We start from the raw sequence: 15,687 nt of genomic DNA, 5'->3' as shown, positions 1-15,687 counted from the left end.
TTTACTTATGGTATGAATGTGTCTCCCCAAAATCCATGTGTTAAAACCTAATCTCCAATGCAATAGTATTAAGAAGAGGGACTTCAGGAGATGAGCAGGTCATGGGGGCAGGGCCCTCATGGAATGGAATTAGTGCCCTTCGGAAAGAGGCTTGAGGGACACTGTTTGTCCCCTTTGCCATGTGAGGATGCAGCAGGAAGGCACCATCTAAAAAGTAGTCAGAAAGCCCTCACCAGACACCAAATCTGCTGTGCCTTGATCTTTGACTTCCCAGCCTCCAGAACTGAGACCAATAAATTTATAAATTACCCAGTCTAAAGTATTTTGCTATAGCAACCTGAATGGACTTAGACAACTTATAAAAATAATACTTTTTAAAATACATTTGCATGTATGAATTTGGAAACACAGAAGGAATAAATACAATTAGCCTATCGCCAGAGAAAACATTGTTAGATTTTATTTACTGAAGTGTCCCTAGAACCTAGAATGGTGCCTGTTCTCCCATGTACTAAGTGATTAAGAAATACTTCCTCAATGAATGAATATCCTCTGTGTCTTCTCACCTTCCAAATGAGCTTTTCATTTTTGACACGACAGTCCCACACTCTTAAGAACTCTTATGTCTCAGAACATTCCTGTTTTATAGTATCCTGTTTTTGTGCCATTGTTCGAGCATCTGCTTTTCTCTCTGAATTTACTATGTTTTTCTGTGAATTTTTTTCTTCCTGTAAGTGGCTGTCCTCTCCCAATTTGGGGGTTTCTCTTTCTCTCATGTTACAAGTTTTTCCTAAATATCTGGGGAGCCTTGGTTGCCTGTTTATATTGAAGAGGGAAACACCGAAAAGAGGACTAGAAGCTTTGAGCACACAGGAGAGGTGTGTCAAATGTAGGCAACATCCCCTCGACTGAAATTTTTCATTTCTCATTGAAGTTTTATTCTTTGTAATACAGAGCTGTACGTTTCACTGGAGAGCTCCCATGCCACTCTCTTTGAATTGGTCCAGCTTCCCAGAGGGGAGCCTCCCAGTCCCCTACCCAGAGGGTAAATGGACAGACTGCCAGTGTTCTGGGAACTGACTGGGAGAAGACAAGACAACTTGGGATCACACCATATTAAATTATTCTTAATCTAAGAACTTATTTTCTCTGTCTTACATAAGGTACCCCCAGCCCCATCTGTTCCTGAAATACCCCCGGGTTCTGTTTTACCCTCTCCAGATAATAAATCTCCAGGTTTCCCTCTGAGGGCAGGGAACATGAGCCCCTTTGCTACATGACAGAGGAAAGGAACCAGGGGATCTATTTCTTAAACAGACTTCCAGCCAATCATCCTGAGTTTAACATCACTCTCACCCTCCACTGAATGCCACCAATTCCTAGGTCCCAAGAGATTCTGCTGTGTTAACTGGGTTGCTTTTTGGCTCTCCCCACTGCGAACTAACTCGGCCTTCTGAAGCCTGCCAAGTCTGTCCCCACTAGCTCATCTTCTTCCCAGCTTTCAAAACTTCATGGCTTTTGTTTCCTTTACTGTTTCGTTTGTCCTTATGAGTTCATGCCCAATTCTTTTATCGTCAATTTAGTTGCACACTGAAAGGTAGTAGTGTTCGATCTGCCATCTTTAACCAAAGGTCTATATTTTACCTCTTACATTTTTGTTATACAGCCCTTTCCTATATTATGTCACCCCTCACCGGGTATCACAATGATTATTTCTCATGTTTGTATTTCTTTCATTAGACTCTTGGTCCCCTACAGACAGAGACCAAGTCTTTCTTATCTCTGTGCCCCAAGAGCATGGCACAGTGTGTGGCACACAGCAAATGCTTATGAAGGGTTTCATGTTTGCTTATGCCCATACTTGAGCCCACATATAGAACATAGTCCTATCTCCTTGCCCAGGAAGTCCCCTCTGGGCCTTCAGCCATTTTTTCCAATCCATTTGCTTTTCTACTGGATAGCTGGATGAAAGAAGGGACAACTGGTACACTGGCCAAACCCTGGGGTGTTTTTAAGCTGGAACTGGGTAATTCTAGAAGGGGTTTATGACACAAGGAGGCAGCACAGCAAAGGAATGAAAGAAAACACACTCTCACGCCCAACTCCCTCACTTTCTCACTATCCCAGTTCTATTACCTTCTAATAGTGTGACCTGAGGCAAGTGAATCTCTCTGTGCCTCAGGTTTTCTCGTGGGAATCATCGAAATACTAACAGAATCTATCGTTTCAGAGATGTTATAGGGGTTAGAGTAGTTTCTGACACAGTTAAAAGCTTCACAAATTTTAGTTACAAGTACTGCTGCTTCATGCTGAAAAACAACACTCCCAGCTCAGTGTAAGGTGGTTTCCAAAGTCAAGAACGAAGCTCTTTCACTTCTTCACAGCAGTGATCTGCCTAAGGCTAGGGCCATGGCACCAGCAGTGTGGGCCCAGGTTTAACCCTCAGCTTGATCTATCTGATCAGTGGGTTCAGGACTTCAAATGACCCTCCCTAACTCTCTTTTACCTGGATGGGGGCAGGGGGTCTGTAGAGGTTGGCAAAGTCATTGTGTTGATTTGCTAAGACTGTCCTTAAGTTTAATTTAAAGAAAACTTACTTTAAGCATACTGGTTTCTTTAAACTAGACTTAAGGTCAACCTTAGCAAATCAGCAAAATGACTTCGCCAACCTGTACACCCCACTAACAACTCTTGGATTCTAAGATCTGCGAAGTAGGAACAAAAAATGTCCATAGTTATTATTTCCTGGGACATATTGAAGATGACAGTTACAAAGAACTCTTAAGGTGCTAAAAAAAAAAAAGAGGTGCCATGAGTGAAAGATATTTATAGAGTTGTGGGCAATAAGAACAACTCTTTTCACACCCATTTTGTGTGTGTGATATATATCACTCTCCCAAGAATAACTAGAGTTATTTTTACATTAGGACTGCATTGTAAGCTCATTGTTACTAGGTCAGCAACCACCTCTCTTGTCTTTCTCAGACTTTCTGCTTTTCAACTTAAAACATTCACTCTTACATGGCTAGATTTCTACCAAAGACACAACTGATTTTAATCTGTTCTGGGTCATTCTGAAGCCCAGCTCAATCTGATCACAAAAGTTATACCGAACATAGATATCTAACAATCTGTTGAATCTGTTATAAAAACCCTAAAGCAAAAAAGGTCTGGATAAGTCTTGCCTACCATGCTGCTGACCACAAATTTCTCACTTGACTATTAATTAAGTATGTGGAAAGCTCTTCCCTTTTTTGAGCTTCTTGGGGGTTGATATGGTTTGGCTGTGTCCCCACCCAAATCTCATCTTAAATTGTAGTTCCCATAATCCCCACATGTCATGGGAGGGAGCTGGTGGGAGATCACTGACTCATGGGAGTAGTTACCCTCATGCTGTTCTCATGACAGTGAGTTCTCATGAGATCTGATGGTTTCATAAGGGGCTTATCCCCTCTTCACTCATACTTCTCCCTGCTGCCACCATGTGAAGAAGTACATGTTTGTTTCCCCTTCTGCCATGACTGTAAGTTTCCTGAGACCTCCCCAGGCATGCTGAACTGTGAGTCAACTAAACCTCTTTTCTTTTATAAATTACCCAGTCCCTGTGTTGTTAGCAGGGTGAGAATGAACTCATACAGGGGCCATTCTGAGAACAGGGGAAATATTCATCAATTATGGTAGATTGTAAATGTGACCAGAATCCCTTAATCCTCCGTGTATACATATCCTCTGTAAATGTGACTTTATGAATCCTTTCACTAAGAGGTGGAGTCTGTTCTGGCCTTCTGACTTGCTTCAACCAGTAAAATGTAGTAAAAGTGATGCTGTGCCCAGTTCTAAGGCCTGGCTGCAAGAGGCTTTGCACACTTCTACTTGCTGTTACTGTGAAAAAATAGCTTGCCTACTGGAGAATGAGAGACCACACGAACAGAACCCAAGTCTGCTCAGCTGCCCCAGGGATATGAGTACCCGAAAGCTGCAAACCCAACCTAAAGCTGTACACTCAACCGGCAGCTGACCACTGACATGTGAGGGAGCCCAGCCAGCCCAGCCTACATCACCAACCTACAGAATAATAAGTTAAATGAATGACTGTTACTTTAAGCCACCAAGTTTTGGGGTGGTTTATTATGTAGCCTTAGAGTGGTAACAGATAACTATTAAGGAATAATATACTAAGGAATCTGATCATGTCACTACATAATCATTTTACTTGGCTGCTGCATTTTCCTCCTACAATACCCTAGGAATAAAAACGTATTAACTTCTTGGTCTCATCTACAATTTTTAACATAGGGTAGGTGGTTTTATGAAACCAGTGTTTGAGGGATTTCTTGAAGGGTGGTTTCCATGACATCACTCTGAAAGTCTTAATACGATTAAAAGCTAATGTTGACAGAGCACTATGTGCCAAGCCCCCAAATCTAAGAGCTTTAGATGTGTCAACTCCCTTTTAATCCTCACAACAACTCTATGGTAAGGACTATTGTTACTTTCCATTTTATAAAGGAGGAAACTGAGGCTCAGCAAATAAATTCTCAAGATCTCACAGCGTAAGTGGCAGAGAGAGCTAGAATTAGCACCCAGGCCCTTTGATTCCAAAGACGGTGCCCTTAACCACTGTGCATCCTGCCTGTCTCCTTGAAGTAAGCACAGTAAAATGTGTGTGCGTGCATGCCTGGAGAATGAGGTCCAGTGTTTAGAAGCAGCCACCTTACCCGAGCCAGACGCAGAAGCGTAGTCATCGTCATCAATAGGATACACTCCTGAAGCTTCTTCAATGGAGCTGTTGTCAAGGTACATGTCTTTATCAGATGTCAGCTCTGCTCTCTGAGAAAGGAAAGACAAGGGAGTCAGGATGTTGAGAGATTAAGAAACACACTTGTATATCTGATTGTTCAGGTACATACTGCAGTGACTACCCCTCCCACTCCCACAGTAGTCTGAATCCACATCTCTGGCCACAGTCTTCCTCAGGCACCCTGACAACTTAACAGCAATTTGAGAGGTGAGCACGGACTAATAACCTGCAAGGGAAGCCTACACAGCTTAAACCAGTAGAATGAAAACATTTCGGAGATCTAAACTCCTATCTTGGGCTTATTTTGTTGCATTCCACTAAACTTACCTGACTTTCAGCCATCCCAATGCTAGTTATAAGCCATCTTGGGCATTCTCTTTGTCACTCCCTTACTGGAAAGGGAACAAAACACTTAGGACTTTCTTGGGGATGTATGCAAAGGTATTACGGCTTAGCTTAGGCTAAATAATCACCCAGGGATCCATCAAATCCTACCAGTGCTTGCAGGCCTGGCAATACTCAGAACTTTACCGCTACAGATGAGAGATCCCCAGTCACCTGGGTCCTCAGGCCATGCAGGCCTTTCTACCCCAGCCCAGACCTGTGCTGAGGCCAGCCACAGTGCCCGGAGAGGAGCAGCGCCCGTGAGGCTCACCTGACAGGGAGAAAGCCCACTGCACGCCTGCTTCTAGGGCTCATTGGCTTAGCAAAGCCTTAATGACAAATACAGATAAACCCACACGAGCACATTCTTTTTCTATTACTGGCAACTGGTAATAGCAAATCACACGCTTAATATGGAGAGGGATCAGTCACTAAGTATACCAGTTCCACAGCTTCTTAACTCTTCAGTAAGAGTTTAGTATTAAAATTCAACCTAATCCTGCCAAAAGAAGAACTTGCATGAACTGGAGACAGAGTAGAGGTATAAGACTTTAAAAAATGGTTTTAGTAAATTGATATTTTACTACCATTATCTCGCAAAAGCCCAGGAAAAAAATAATAAAGCAGACAGGCAGCTTTTAAACAACGCTTGTTTGGAAACAGGCAACACTCATTATTGCTCTATTTTTAAAAATCATATAGAATGTTTGCTCTTAACAGAAATTATAAAATAATGTTTCCCTTACTACACTGGCTTTCATTAGATTTAATCTTAAAATAAAATTTTCTCTTCCAGCAGTCGCTGTGATTGGAACCTTCCTAAGAGGACAGGTCCAACCCTCTGTAACAGTACCACTTTATTTTCTCAGGTTTCAGCAGCTGGCTAGCAAGGCTAAAGCACTTTAAACCTGAGCCCACATTCTCCACCAGGCCTCAGTGCCAACTGAAAGCAAAGCATGGGAATCTATTTTGTTTGAGCTATCACACTGGTGGATTCTGAGAACTGAAACCTTAGGGACTGGTGTTCCAGTGGCCTGGACCACCCTGAGCCAAGAGTGTGCTGCAACTTTTCTAGTAGAATGGTCAGAGCTTAACTCTGCAATCTGACGCCACCCTGTTTCACTGGTTTCCAAGGCTATCACCATTCCAGATTGTAATTCCCAAAGCTTGTGAACTGTGTCAGGAGCCCTGTGTTCTACAGCTCTATCATCAACTGCCTCCTCTTAGGCTCTCAGCTCCTTTAAAGGCAAGGCTTCCCTCCCCCAGTCACAGTGCCTGGCATATAGTAGATGCTCAGTAAACACCGCTTGGGTTGAACCACCATTCGTGCTCCCATGAAAAAGCCATTCTCCGTCCTGCTTGTCTTAAACTTTGTCCCATTTACTTCCCCTGGAGGACCTCCTGGTTTCTTCTCTCAAATCCTGGCTACTATGAAACAGGCTGTGACTTCTCCACTCCTTATACACCTCCTAATTATAAAGTACTATTTTAGGATTTTGTAGCATATGAACAGTTTAAGACATAAACCCTCACTGTTACTTTTCATTGTTTCATGTGCATTTTTCTTGCCCCTCAGCAGAGTACAACTCATTGAAGGCATGTTTTGAATGACCTGTGTTCTCTGTCCCTCTCAAAATGCATGGCCACAAAATAAATATTTGACTGAGATTACTTAAACCAAATTGGCCTTGGACTGAGGTTTCAGAGTTACATGTCACAAGACCTCCAGGATCCTCGTAGTTTAAAATCTCTCCATTTTAAGCCTAGGAGACCATCTGCCCCAAACCTCCTATAGCTTGCATTGCATCTATTTAAGTAACCTACAGTCTTAAAAGTAAGCAAAATATTCCCTTTCCATGTTAGAATCTTGTTTCCCTTTTCTTAACATTGAATGACTTTCATTTTCCTCTTGGCTCTGTCAATGAAGTTTGATGTGGCAAGGGTAATACTGAGATACTTAATCCCTATGTGTAAATTGAATTTCAATTCATTCGATGACCCAGTTGTCTGGACTAACACATCTGTCATGCTACCAGGCAGATGGGCCAAAAATGCCTCCCAGAGAATTCTAGCCACCTCACCGTTCAACCACACTGGCAGTCTGACAAGCCAACTGACTTCCTGGGACAGCCGTCAGGCCTGTATTTCAACAAGACTTGGGGTGGAAGTCAGGGTGTGTCTAGAGAAGCTGGCTTACCCTCAGCCACTCAGTTACTTGGGGTCTACAGGGCTCCCGGGTGGTCTCTGGGCTGACCAGATGTTTAATGTGTTTAAAGGCAGCCAAAAGTGTGTTTCTCTGTGATCCAGGGTGGTGAAAATAATTTTGAAATCAAAGTTCTCTCCCACTCTGATTTCAGGAGCACAAAGAACATAGGAGAAATTACCAATATCTTTCCATGAAGTCCAATTTAACATAAAGCAGGGCCCTTTTCACTCTGTAGCAGATAATGAATACCTCTATTGCCTTCCCCTTTAAAAAATAAAAAATAAAAAAAAACCCCTGCGCTCATGACAAATTCCTTTTATGAAGACTCCACACTCTGTTCTGAAAGGTTTCTGGAATGAACATGCCTAGGACGGGAAATGATTTATGCACCAATATTCCCTTGGGACAAGGAGACAAGCATCTCCTCAAGGCCATGAAAAGGGGTGAATTCGAAACTACCGATTTTACACCTGGCGAAATGTAGTCTGCTTGACTGAGGAGAAAACCTCGGGACATACTCTGCACACACTCCCTTACTCAATGGGACCGAGACGCTGGACGAAAGCAACTGGAAGGAAACGTGCAGAAGCACAAGTCCAGAGCTGCAGCCTGGCTGTAGGGTGTCATAACGAGGCTGTTTAATTTGGGACTGACCATCGCTGTGAGGCAGTGCCAATACTGTTGGCTAACAGGGTCCAGAGTACAAGCTGGGAGAAAAACAAAGCTGGTCTTTCAGACCTTTCCCTTTTGGCTGATGCAAGATGTGAATACAGGAGAGCAAAGGAAGGCTGTGGAAAGCAACAAGGTACGACCAAGAGGAAAATGTGCGGCAGACAGATAGAGGGTTCTGCGTAATGCCACATTCAGCCAGGGAAACTGAAGCACTACACTGCCTCCATAGATGAAATTCCCAGAGGAGAATGCGCATCTGATTCAGTTGTGTAAACCCACAATGCCTAGAAGGAAGGCAAGATACATACTTGTCTCCTATCTCCACCCCTTTGCCTCTGGCCCCCCGGCTCTGGCTAACTCATCATGTTGGGCCTGGACCTGGACTAAGGCCTCCTGACCTTGTCACTGCCCACGTCCGTGTCTTTGAAGCCATTCGATGCAGAGGGACTGTTCTTGAACTCAAACATCATCGTATCACTCTCCTGCCTTTATTGGCTCCCTGCCACATAGAGGATGACATAAAAACTCCTTAGTTGGGCCTAGCACAGTGGCTCACGCCTGTAATCCCAGCACTTTGGGAGGCCAAGGCGGGCGGATCACCTGAGGTCAGGAGTTTGAGACCAGCCTGGCCAACATGGTGAAACTCCTTTACCAAAAATTACAAAAATTAGGCGGGTGTGGTGGCAGGTGCCTGTAATCCCAGCTACTCGCAAGGCTGAGGCAGGAGAATCACTTGAACCTGGGAGGCAGAGGCTGCAGTGAGCCAAGACTGCGCCACTGTACTCCAGCCTGGGAGACAGAGCAAGGAGACTCTGTCTCAAAAAACAAACAACAAACAAACAAACAAACAAACAAACAAAACAAAAGTCCTTAGCCTGGAAAAAAGTTCTTTACCAAGTGGCCTCAGCTGCAGTTCTAGTCTCAGCTGCTGCTGCTGCTTCCTCTACCCAAACCCCAGGCACCAATACAAAAACACCAAGAAGAGATCTGGTGACACTACTTTCCTTCGTATTATACCCCTAAGAGGAAATAAACACCTTTAGGTTGGAAAATTGAGGACAGCGATGGTGATTTAGGCCTTCCACATTTGATGATAAAAATTTAGAGTTTGATAAAATGATTCAGCCCAAACTTATACGGTAGTTGTAATAAAAATGACAAGAACAAGTGTTAATTCAATACACAAAAGATCAAGTGTAGTAGAGTCTTGATGTAGTCAGAAACATCACAAACCTGTCCATTTTCTCAGCGAAGACAATTTGTAGGATAGCAACTGAACAAATCTATTTGTTTGATTTTTCTCATGTAGGTAAAACCTACACTGAACAAATACCATGTTTCAAACTGCCAGTGTGGAAATCTGTTATTTAGAAATTCAAAGCCTTGTTTAAAAAACACAACGCCTTACCTACTAAGCAGAGGTCCTGCACATGCTTTCAACCAGTGCAACCAACACAGTGGTCAAAATAATTAAAGCTCAAATTAGTAAATGTCGAATTTACTTTATGGTTTTAACTCAGGTTAACAACGAAAGCAGAAGGTAGAAAACTTAATTATGGATAACTCAGACTCCCAGACCCAACTTTCAGAAAATTAGCCTTTGAACATAAAAATAAAATATCCATGTGGCCTAATAATACATTTCTGTATCACATCACAGACAACAAACATCTAGATGATGCCTCCTGTTTTACGGTAAAGGCAGTCCAACTCCAATTATGACTCAAATGTATATTAACTTTTATGATGATTACAAAGTGCCAAAAAGGCTATAACTGTAGCTTATCTTTCCATAGGTGACTCAGTAAACTATTTTATTACTAGCAACACACATTGTAAAGGAAATAATAATTAGCTAAAAATTTATGTCACCCACACAGTCACTCAGAGATGATATACCTGTCCTTAAGCTAAACTTGTCAATTCTGGCTTAGGTCTAGCCCAAAGGAACATACAATTTTAGAGCTTGACTGGACACTATAGTCACCAAGATCACTGATTTATTTCACAAATGAAGAAACAGAACACCAGAGTAGCAAAGTAGCTCAAAAGTCCTCTGGTCTAGCTGGTGGCCAAACTGGAGCCCGAAGCTCTTGACACCTAAGTGTGGGCTCTTTCTGCTGCACTGTCATGCCCCACAACATGAGTGACATCAGACCATTCAGCCTCGGGTTCAAAAGGATTAGCTGTGGCTGTTAGGTGTTTATTACGTGCCAGGCATTTTGTGCTTAGCATTTTATTAAGCATTGGCTCATCTAATCATCTCAACAATCTCCAGGGCCTACCCAGGAGATTGTTGCCTGAAATCATACAGCTCCAAAAGTAGGGACTTGGGACCTCAAAATGTATGTCACTGAGCATGTTCAACATGCTGCCTACCTCGTCCCTCCCTTTTCCTGTGATTCACACATAATAATAATAAAGGACTGGGGAAGAACTACAATAAAGAGCTGTGTTGAACTTGGCTTAATCCAGCATTTTCAAACTTTGATCATGGAAATTCTCCCCCCAGAATATCGATTTAACATCTTTCAGAACTAGTATTCTTGGCATCATAGATGGGGAAAAAATTGCACTGAGAGTTTTGAGTTCTGGCTTAACAGTTACTTCTCTGCCTAATGCCCCTCAAATTTCCTACATGGAAGATGCCTGGAGCCATGTACACCAATTGTCATTCATTAATTTTTAGTAACGCCAATTCTAACAAGCAGGTGACCCATGCAAACTAAAAATGTAACAGAAGGAAAGAGCCCTTTGTTTACTGTGGGAAAAAGATGATCTTGCCCTTGAATATGTTAGATATGGCTGACTTATAAGCACATACTGTTGTCTTTACTAGCACTTACTTTAAGGGTTTGTTTACAGAGAACTAACTAGTATGTAGCAATTTCCTAGGCTTACCTTATTATCCTGTATATACATACAAACCATCCATGGAAAAAAGCCAAAATCAAAAGTGAGGTCACACATGAAAGAAAATTCTTAACCCTCCCTACATAAGAAATTCTTAAGAAAGGTCTTTAGGCTGGACACAGTGGCTCACACCTATAACCTCAGCACTTTGGGAGGCCAAGGCAGGCAGATCACCTGAGGTCAGGAGTTTGAGACCAGCCTGGCCAAGACGGTGAAACCCCGTCTCTACTAAAAATACAAAAAATTAGCCAGGCGTGGTAGCAGGTGCCTGTTATCCCAGCTACTTGGGAGGCCGAGGCAGGAGAATCGCTTGAACCCAGGAGACGGAGGTTGCAGTGAGCCGAGATTGCGCCACAGCACTCCAGCCTAGGTGACAGAGCCAGACTCCATCTCAAAAACAAAAAAGAAAAAAAGAAGGGTCTTCAGTTCCAAACTGCTTCAAACATCTTAAATAGTTCTTAATTCATTATATAGAAAGCTAAAGTCTCTTTAAGAAACACTTCAACATCCCTTCCACAGAGTGGGAATGAATTTAAATGATTTACTCATGCGTATTAGGAAAACAAACCCAAAGCCAAAAAAATAATCAGGTTACATGAAGGTAGAATCACATTTGGGTGGAAAGTGGGAGGCACAAGGATGACTGGGCTGGTCATAAAGATGTCAGGTAATAGGCAACTTTGGAGAAATTCCTCTAGTTCCATGAAGCTTCTGAAATGACCCAAGGTCTGGGAGATGACAGAATTCCTACTGTAATTATTCACAGTCCTTGAAGTCTGAACCACTTACTTGGAAGGTGCCACTGATGTTGGCTGTTCCTGTTGGATGCCTCTTATAGAGTGGGGCTCTTCTTATACCACTGAGAAAGCGAGTTCCTTGAAGATGCCCAAGACCCAGGCCTGAGCCTGATCTTTCTGCGTCCTCTCCCTTGACCGCCGTTGTGTTCTAGGAACCAATATATGGTAAAGGCTCCACAGAAAGTAGAAGAAACCCTTTTTTCTAAGGGGCTGAATCCAAGCTTTACGCCATTTGGTGAAAGGAAATAACCAAGCCCTTTAAAGAAACTACCTGGTTACCCCACAACTGAGAAAAACAGATCAATGTTCTCTTACATGGTCTCTTTTTTAAAAAGCTGGAATTCGGCCTTATTCTGAGGGGAACTGCCAGAAAAGGTAAATGTGACCTTGGAAGAAACCTTGGGCTCATGAAGAAGGCCTCCAATGAGCCAGGCATGGCTCTGGTCTTTGGAAAACATTTAAATGGCTGAGGAGTGTGTTAAAAAGTAACACCAAGTTAGGGTACTTAACTGCAGAAATTCTCCTCTTTTGTTTGAAAAAAGAACTAAACTTGCTTCAGAGCAGTTAGATTTCCTAAGCCAACAAAGCTCCAAGTAAAATCTGTTTCATAAAATGCTCAGCGCAATAATCAGTACATTAACTGCGACCCCCACCAACCAAAAAAAAAAAAAAAAAAAAAAAAACCTCTTGCCAGAGGATTACTTGGCACATCTAAACTTGTAGTCATGATTCAATATAATCAATATCATTTTCAGAAAGGGTCCTTGCTGTATGTACGTTGGGGCATCTGGTGGTGTAAAACAATTTTTCTTCCTACAGTGTTTGCTTATTCATTCTACAGAACAGTACCTAGTGCAGTAAGTGGTTTGTTGGGTAAATTTAAAACAGCATCTCAGATATGATGATCCAGAAAGATCTCATATGCTTATTTAACTGAATGATGTCCCCTTCCCCTGTCCCCAAGCATCACAACACATAAAACAGGATGCACCCGCCCCCATCCTTCTCATTTCTCTTCAATCTAAAGCTTGGCAACAATGAGCAGCCCTGGGTACACACACTCACTGAGTCTATGCTCACCTCCCAGTCATCGTATCACTGGCATATCATTCTACAAACTCATGTCATCCGAACCCTCAGGTGTTCCAAGCCATCATCTCATGATGAACTCTTAACTGAATAAAACCAGCTAAAAGGAAACTAAACCTTTTCACCCAAACTCTTGACACATTTCGTACATTTTTAATCAAAATAATTACAGAGACAACTAATTAAAAGCCAAATATCCCACCTGGAGAGAATGTTCACATTATGCCCTTTTGTTGCTTTTGAATTTCAAAACACTTGCATTACAAAATCCCATCAATACGTTTTTTAAAAATACACTTCATGAAACTGGTGTATTGCTTACACTAAAAACAAATAAACGAACAAGAAATCTTCCTCCTCAGCCACAAGGATAAAAGGCAACTGGGGGAAAAAAACAAAATAAAAGCAAAGCAGAACACACTGACAATTCTTACTTCTGTTTGTGGTAATGGGTTCAGATTCCTGATCCAGAGACAGAAGGGAAGCAACCTTTGTCTTGAATTAAATTTTCTGGCAACAACAGTAGGGATGTATGAGGCAATGTATACTAAAGCAACGCCTGGGACTTTGAGTGGGATTATGTTGAATATGCATGACACACAAAAGGAAAATGTTCATGACTTACAGATGTGCTCCGCATTGAGCTTTCTTCCTTTTTTGGAATATCAAACAGAGAGAAGCGAGAGGTTTGCAGCCATGTTATTACAGGCATCGCTGCCTCTCCCCTTCCCAAACTAGAATATTCTAGTATTTATTTTGCTATCCATATGACCACAGTTTAGACTAGAGTAAAAACAGAAGCTGTGTGAGCCTAACCTGAAAAGCTCCAAGTGCTGGAGAGGGTCAGCATTAATAAATTCTAACTGAAGTAATGAGATTCTGTTTCCTGGCGGAGTTTGGCAGGAGAAAGGGGGAAAAATATTTGGAATTTATTTCGTATTCAGAAGTGTTTGTAAAAACTACCATAATGGAACAGAGTCCAAGTCAAGCACAGGAAGCCAACAGGCTCTGGTTTAGATTTAATAATTCACTTTAAGGGTTTTTCAACTGCTACAATTCTAGGCCCCAAGGCATAACCACATATATTCTCCTCCCTATACAAGGGCTGACAGAATGCCACAGAAAGCTTACAGGACAGAAAAATGGGAAAGACCTTGGGGCCAAAGGGCAGACCACACCTTTCCAGGCTTCAGCTCAGGCTGGAGAAAGAATCTGAGTTCTGAGACTTGCCACAGTCAATGGATAGAATTTCCAAGTGTTTCAGAGGTCTGAGCTAGAACTGAGTCTGAATGTCAATAGGAATATGGAACACTCTGCTGCTGGCCTGTAAAAAGAAGCCTTGACTATTTAAAAGATGCCAACTAACAGAAATTGGCACAGACCCTTTGGAAATCACATTGGCAATGTGTTTTAAGAAGCTATGAAATCTTTTATACTATTTGACCAGATGTTTCTTCTCCCAGGAATTATCCTAATGAAATAAAAGTTAGGGTGTTTACTACTGCATTAAAGACAAATCAGGGAGACAATCTCAATGCCCACTACAGGGGTGTACTATGTCTGGTAAATAATTATGCATGATATATTAGTTTTCTCAACATAGCCATTAAAAATCATATACCACATAGTAATAAGTAAAAGTGTTTGTAACGACATATTAAATTTAAAAAGCATACATTAATTTTTTTCTAATATTACAACTATATTGCAATTTCTCATATATATATATACACACACACACACACACACACACACACACACATATATTTCAAATACATATATATATTTGGCCAAGCACTGAAAGGGAATAGAAAATGAAGAAGAAAGATAACTGGTTAGGGTGGTGGATTTATGTGTAATTTTTTTCCTAATTGATATTACAGCTACATTTTTGGCACTATAATGTTGCTGAAAGCACAGAAAGCACAAGACCGATAAGTCATAGACACAAATGACTTGGAACCAGCTTTCAGACATCAACTGTGCAAATAAACTTTTGAAAATTAATTAACAGCGAATACATCCAAACACAAGACACACACACACACACACACATATGTCATATATATTTTATATATGATATATAATATATATAATATATATTTTATATGTGATATATAATATATATATTACATATATCATATATATTGTATATTACATATATATATTATATATAAATCTAAAGCAAGTGTCATGAGCTGGGTGCAGTGACTCATGCTTGTAATCCCAGCACTTTGGGAGGCCAAGGCTGGAGAACTGCTTGAGCTCAGGAGTTCAAGATCAGCCAGGGCAACATAGTAAGATCTCATCTCTACAAAAGATTTTTTTAAGAAAAGAAGCAAATATTATGGAAGTATGTAAGTACTAAAAAAAAAAAAAAAAAAAAAATCACACTTCAGAAAAATGCCAACTCACAGAACAGTGCTTGGGCCACTCCTGATCCATTTCACCTGTGGTCACAAAGGCAAAAGGTCTAATAAAATGGATATTCAGTTGCAAGATTTCAGGTTTTAAAAATTCCTGGGTCTAATAACCCGTCTTGTTAGCGCCTCCTTGCTCCTGGGTTATTTCAAGTGGAGGAAGCCACTCCATGTCAAGGTGAGCTTGCTCCGTTTCCCAGCATACAAGCTCCCTTCCAGCTTAGCCCCAACCAGAGGAGGGAGATGCCTGCACTTGAGCCCTGTGCCTCCGACACACCTGCAGGGCTGACATGCCAGTGAGCTGGGCAGATGTTCCATACTGCTCCTGGTTTTCTGCGTCCAATCTATTACACCTAACTCACCTGTTTGTAATGGCAGCCTCTCCTTCTGCTGATTACAGGAAAG

At 41.7% G+C, this 15,687-nt stretch overlaps 1 protein-coding gene across 4 annotated transcripts in view, besides 1 other annotated feature; it reads right to left on the bottom strand.

The window, feature by feature from the left end:
• Window positions 1–15,687, bottom strand: part of SDC2 (syndecan 2) — a 117,978-nt gene that overhangs the window by 13,481 nt on the left and 88,810 nt on the right. For 3 of the 4 annotated variants that reach the window (NM_002998.4, XM_047422076.1, XM_024447228.2), the window contains one exon: window positions 4,719–4,830. In NM_002998.4, coding sequence (NP_002989.2) covers window positions 4,719–4,830 — 112 coding nt within the window. Of the gene's footprint in view, window positions 1–4,718; window positions 4,831–11,765; window positions 11,922–14,040; window positions 14,095–15,687 lie in introns of those variants that run through there. The other variant, XM_011517212.4, reaches the window with a different exon arrangement.
• Window positions 8,284–8,784: an enhancer, noted in NCBI's record as "H3K27ac hESC enhancer chr8:97601754-97602254 (GRCh37/hg19 assembly coordinates)". NCBI's record gives its function as "activates a minimal SCP1, AML or CMV promoter by ChIP-STARR-seq in primed H9 embryonic stem cells {active_cell/tissue: H9 hESC(primed)}" and the evidence as "EXISTENCE:reporter gene assay evidence [ECO:0000049][PMID:30033119]".

The sequence above is a fragment of the Homo sapiens genome, chromosome 8 (genome assembly GCF_000001405.40).
Source record: "Homo sapiens chromosome 8, GRCh38.p14 Primary Assembly".
Lineage (NCBI taxonomy): Eukaryota > Metazoa > Chordata > Mammalia > Primates > Hominidae > Homo > Homo sapiens.
Note: the sequence above shows the minus strand (reverse complement) of the source record. Positions and strands in the feature narration are given on the sequence as shown.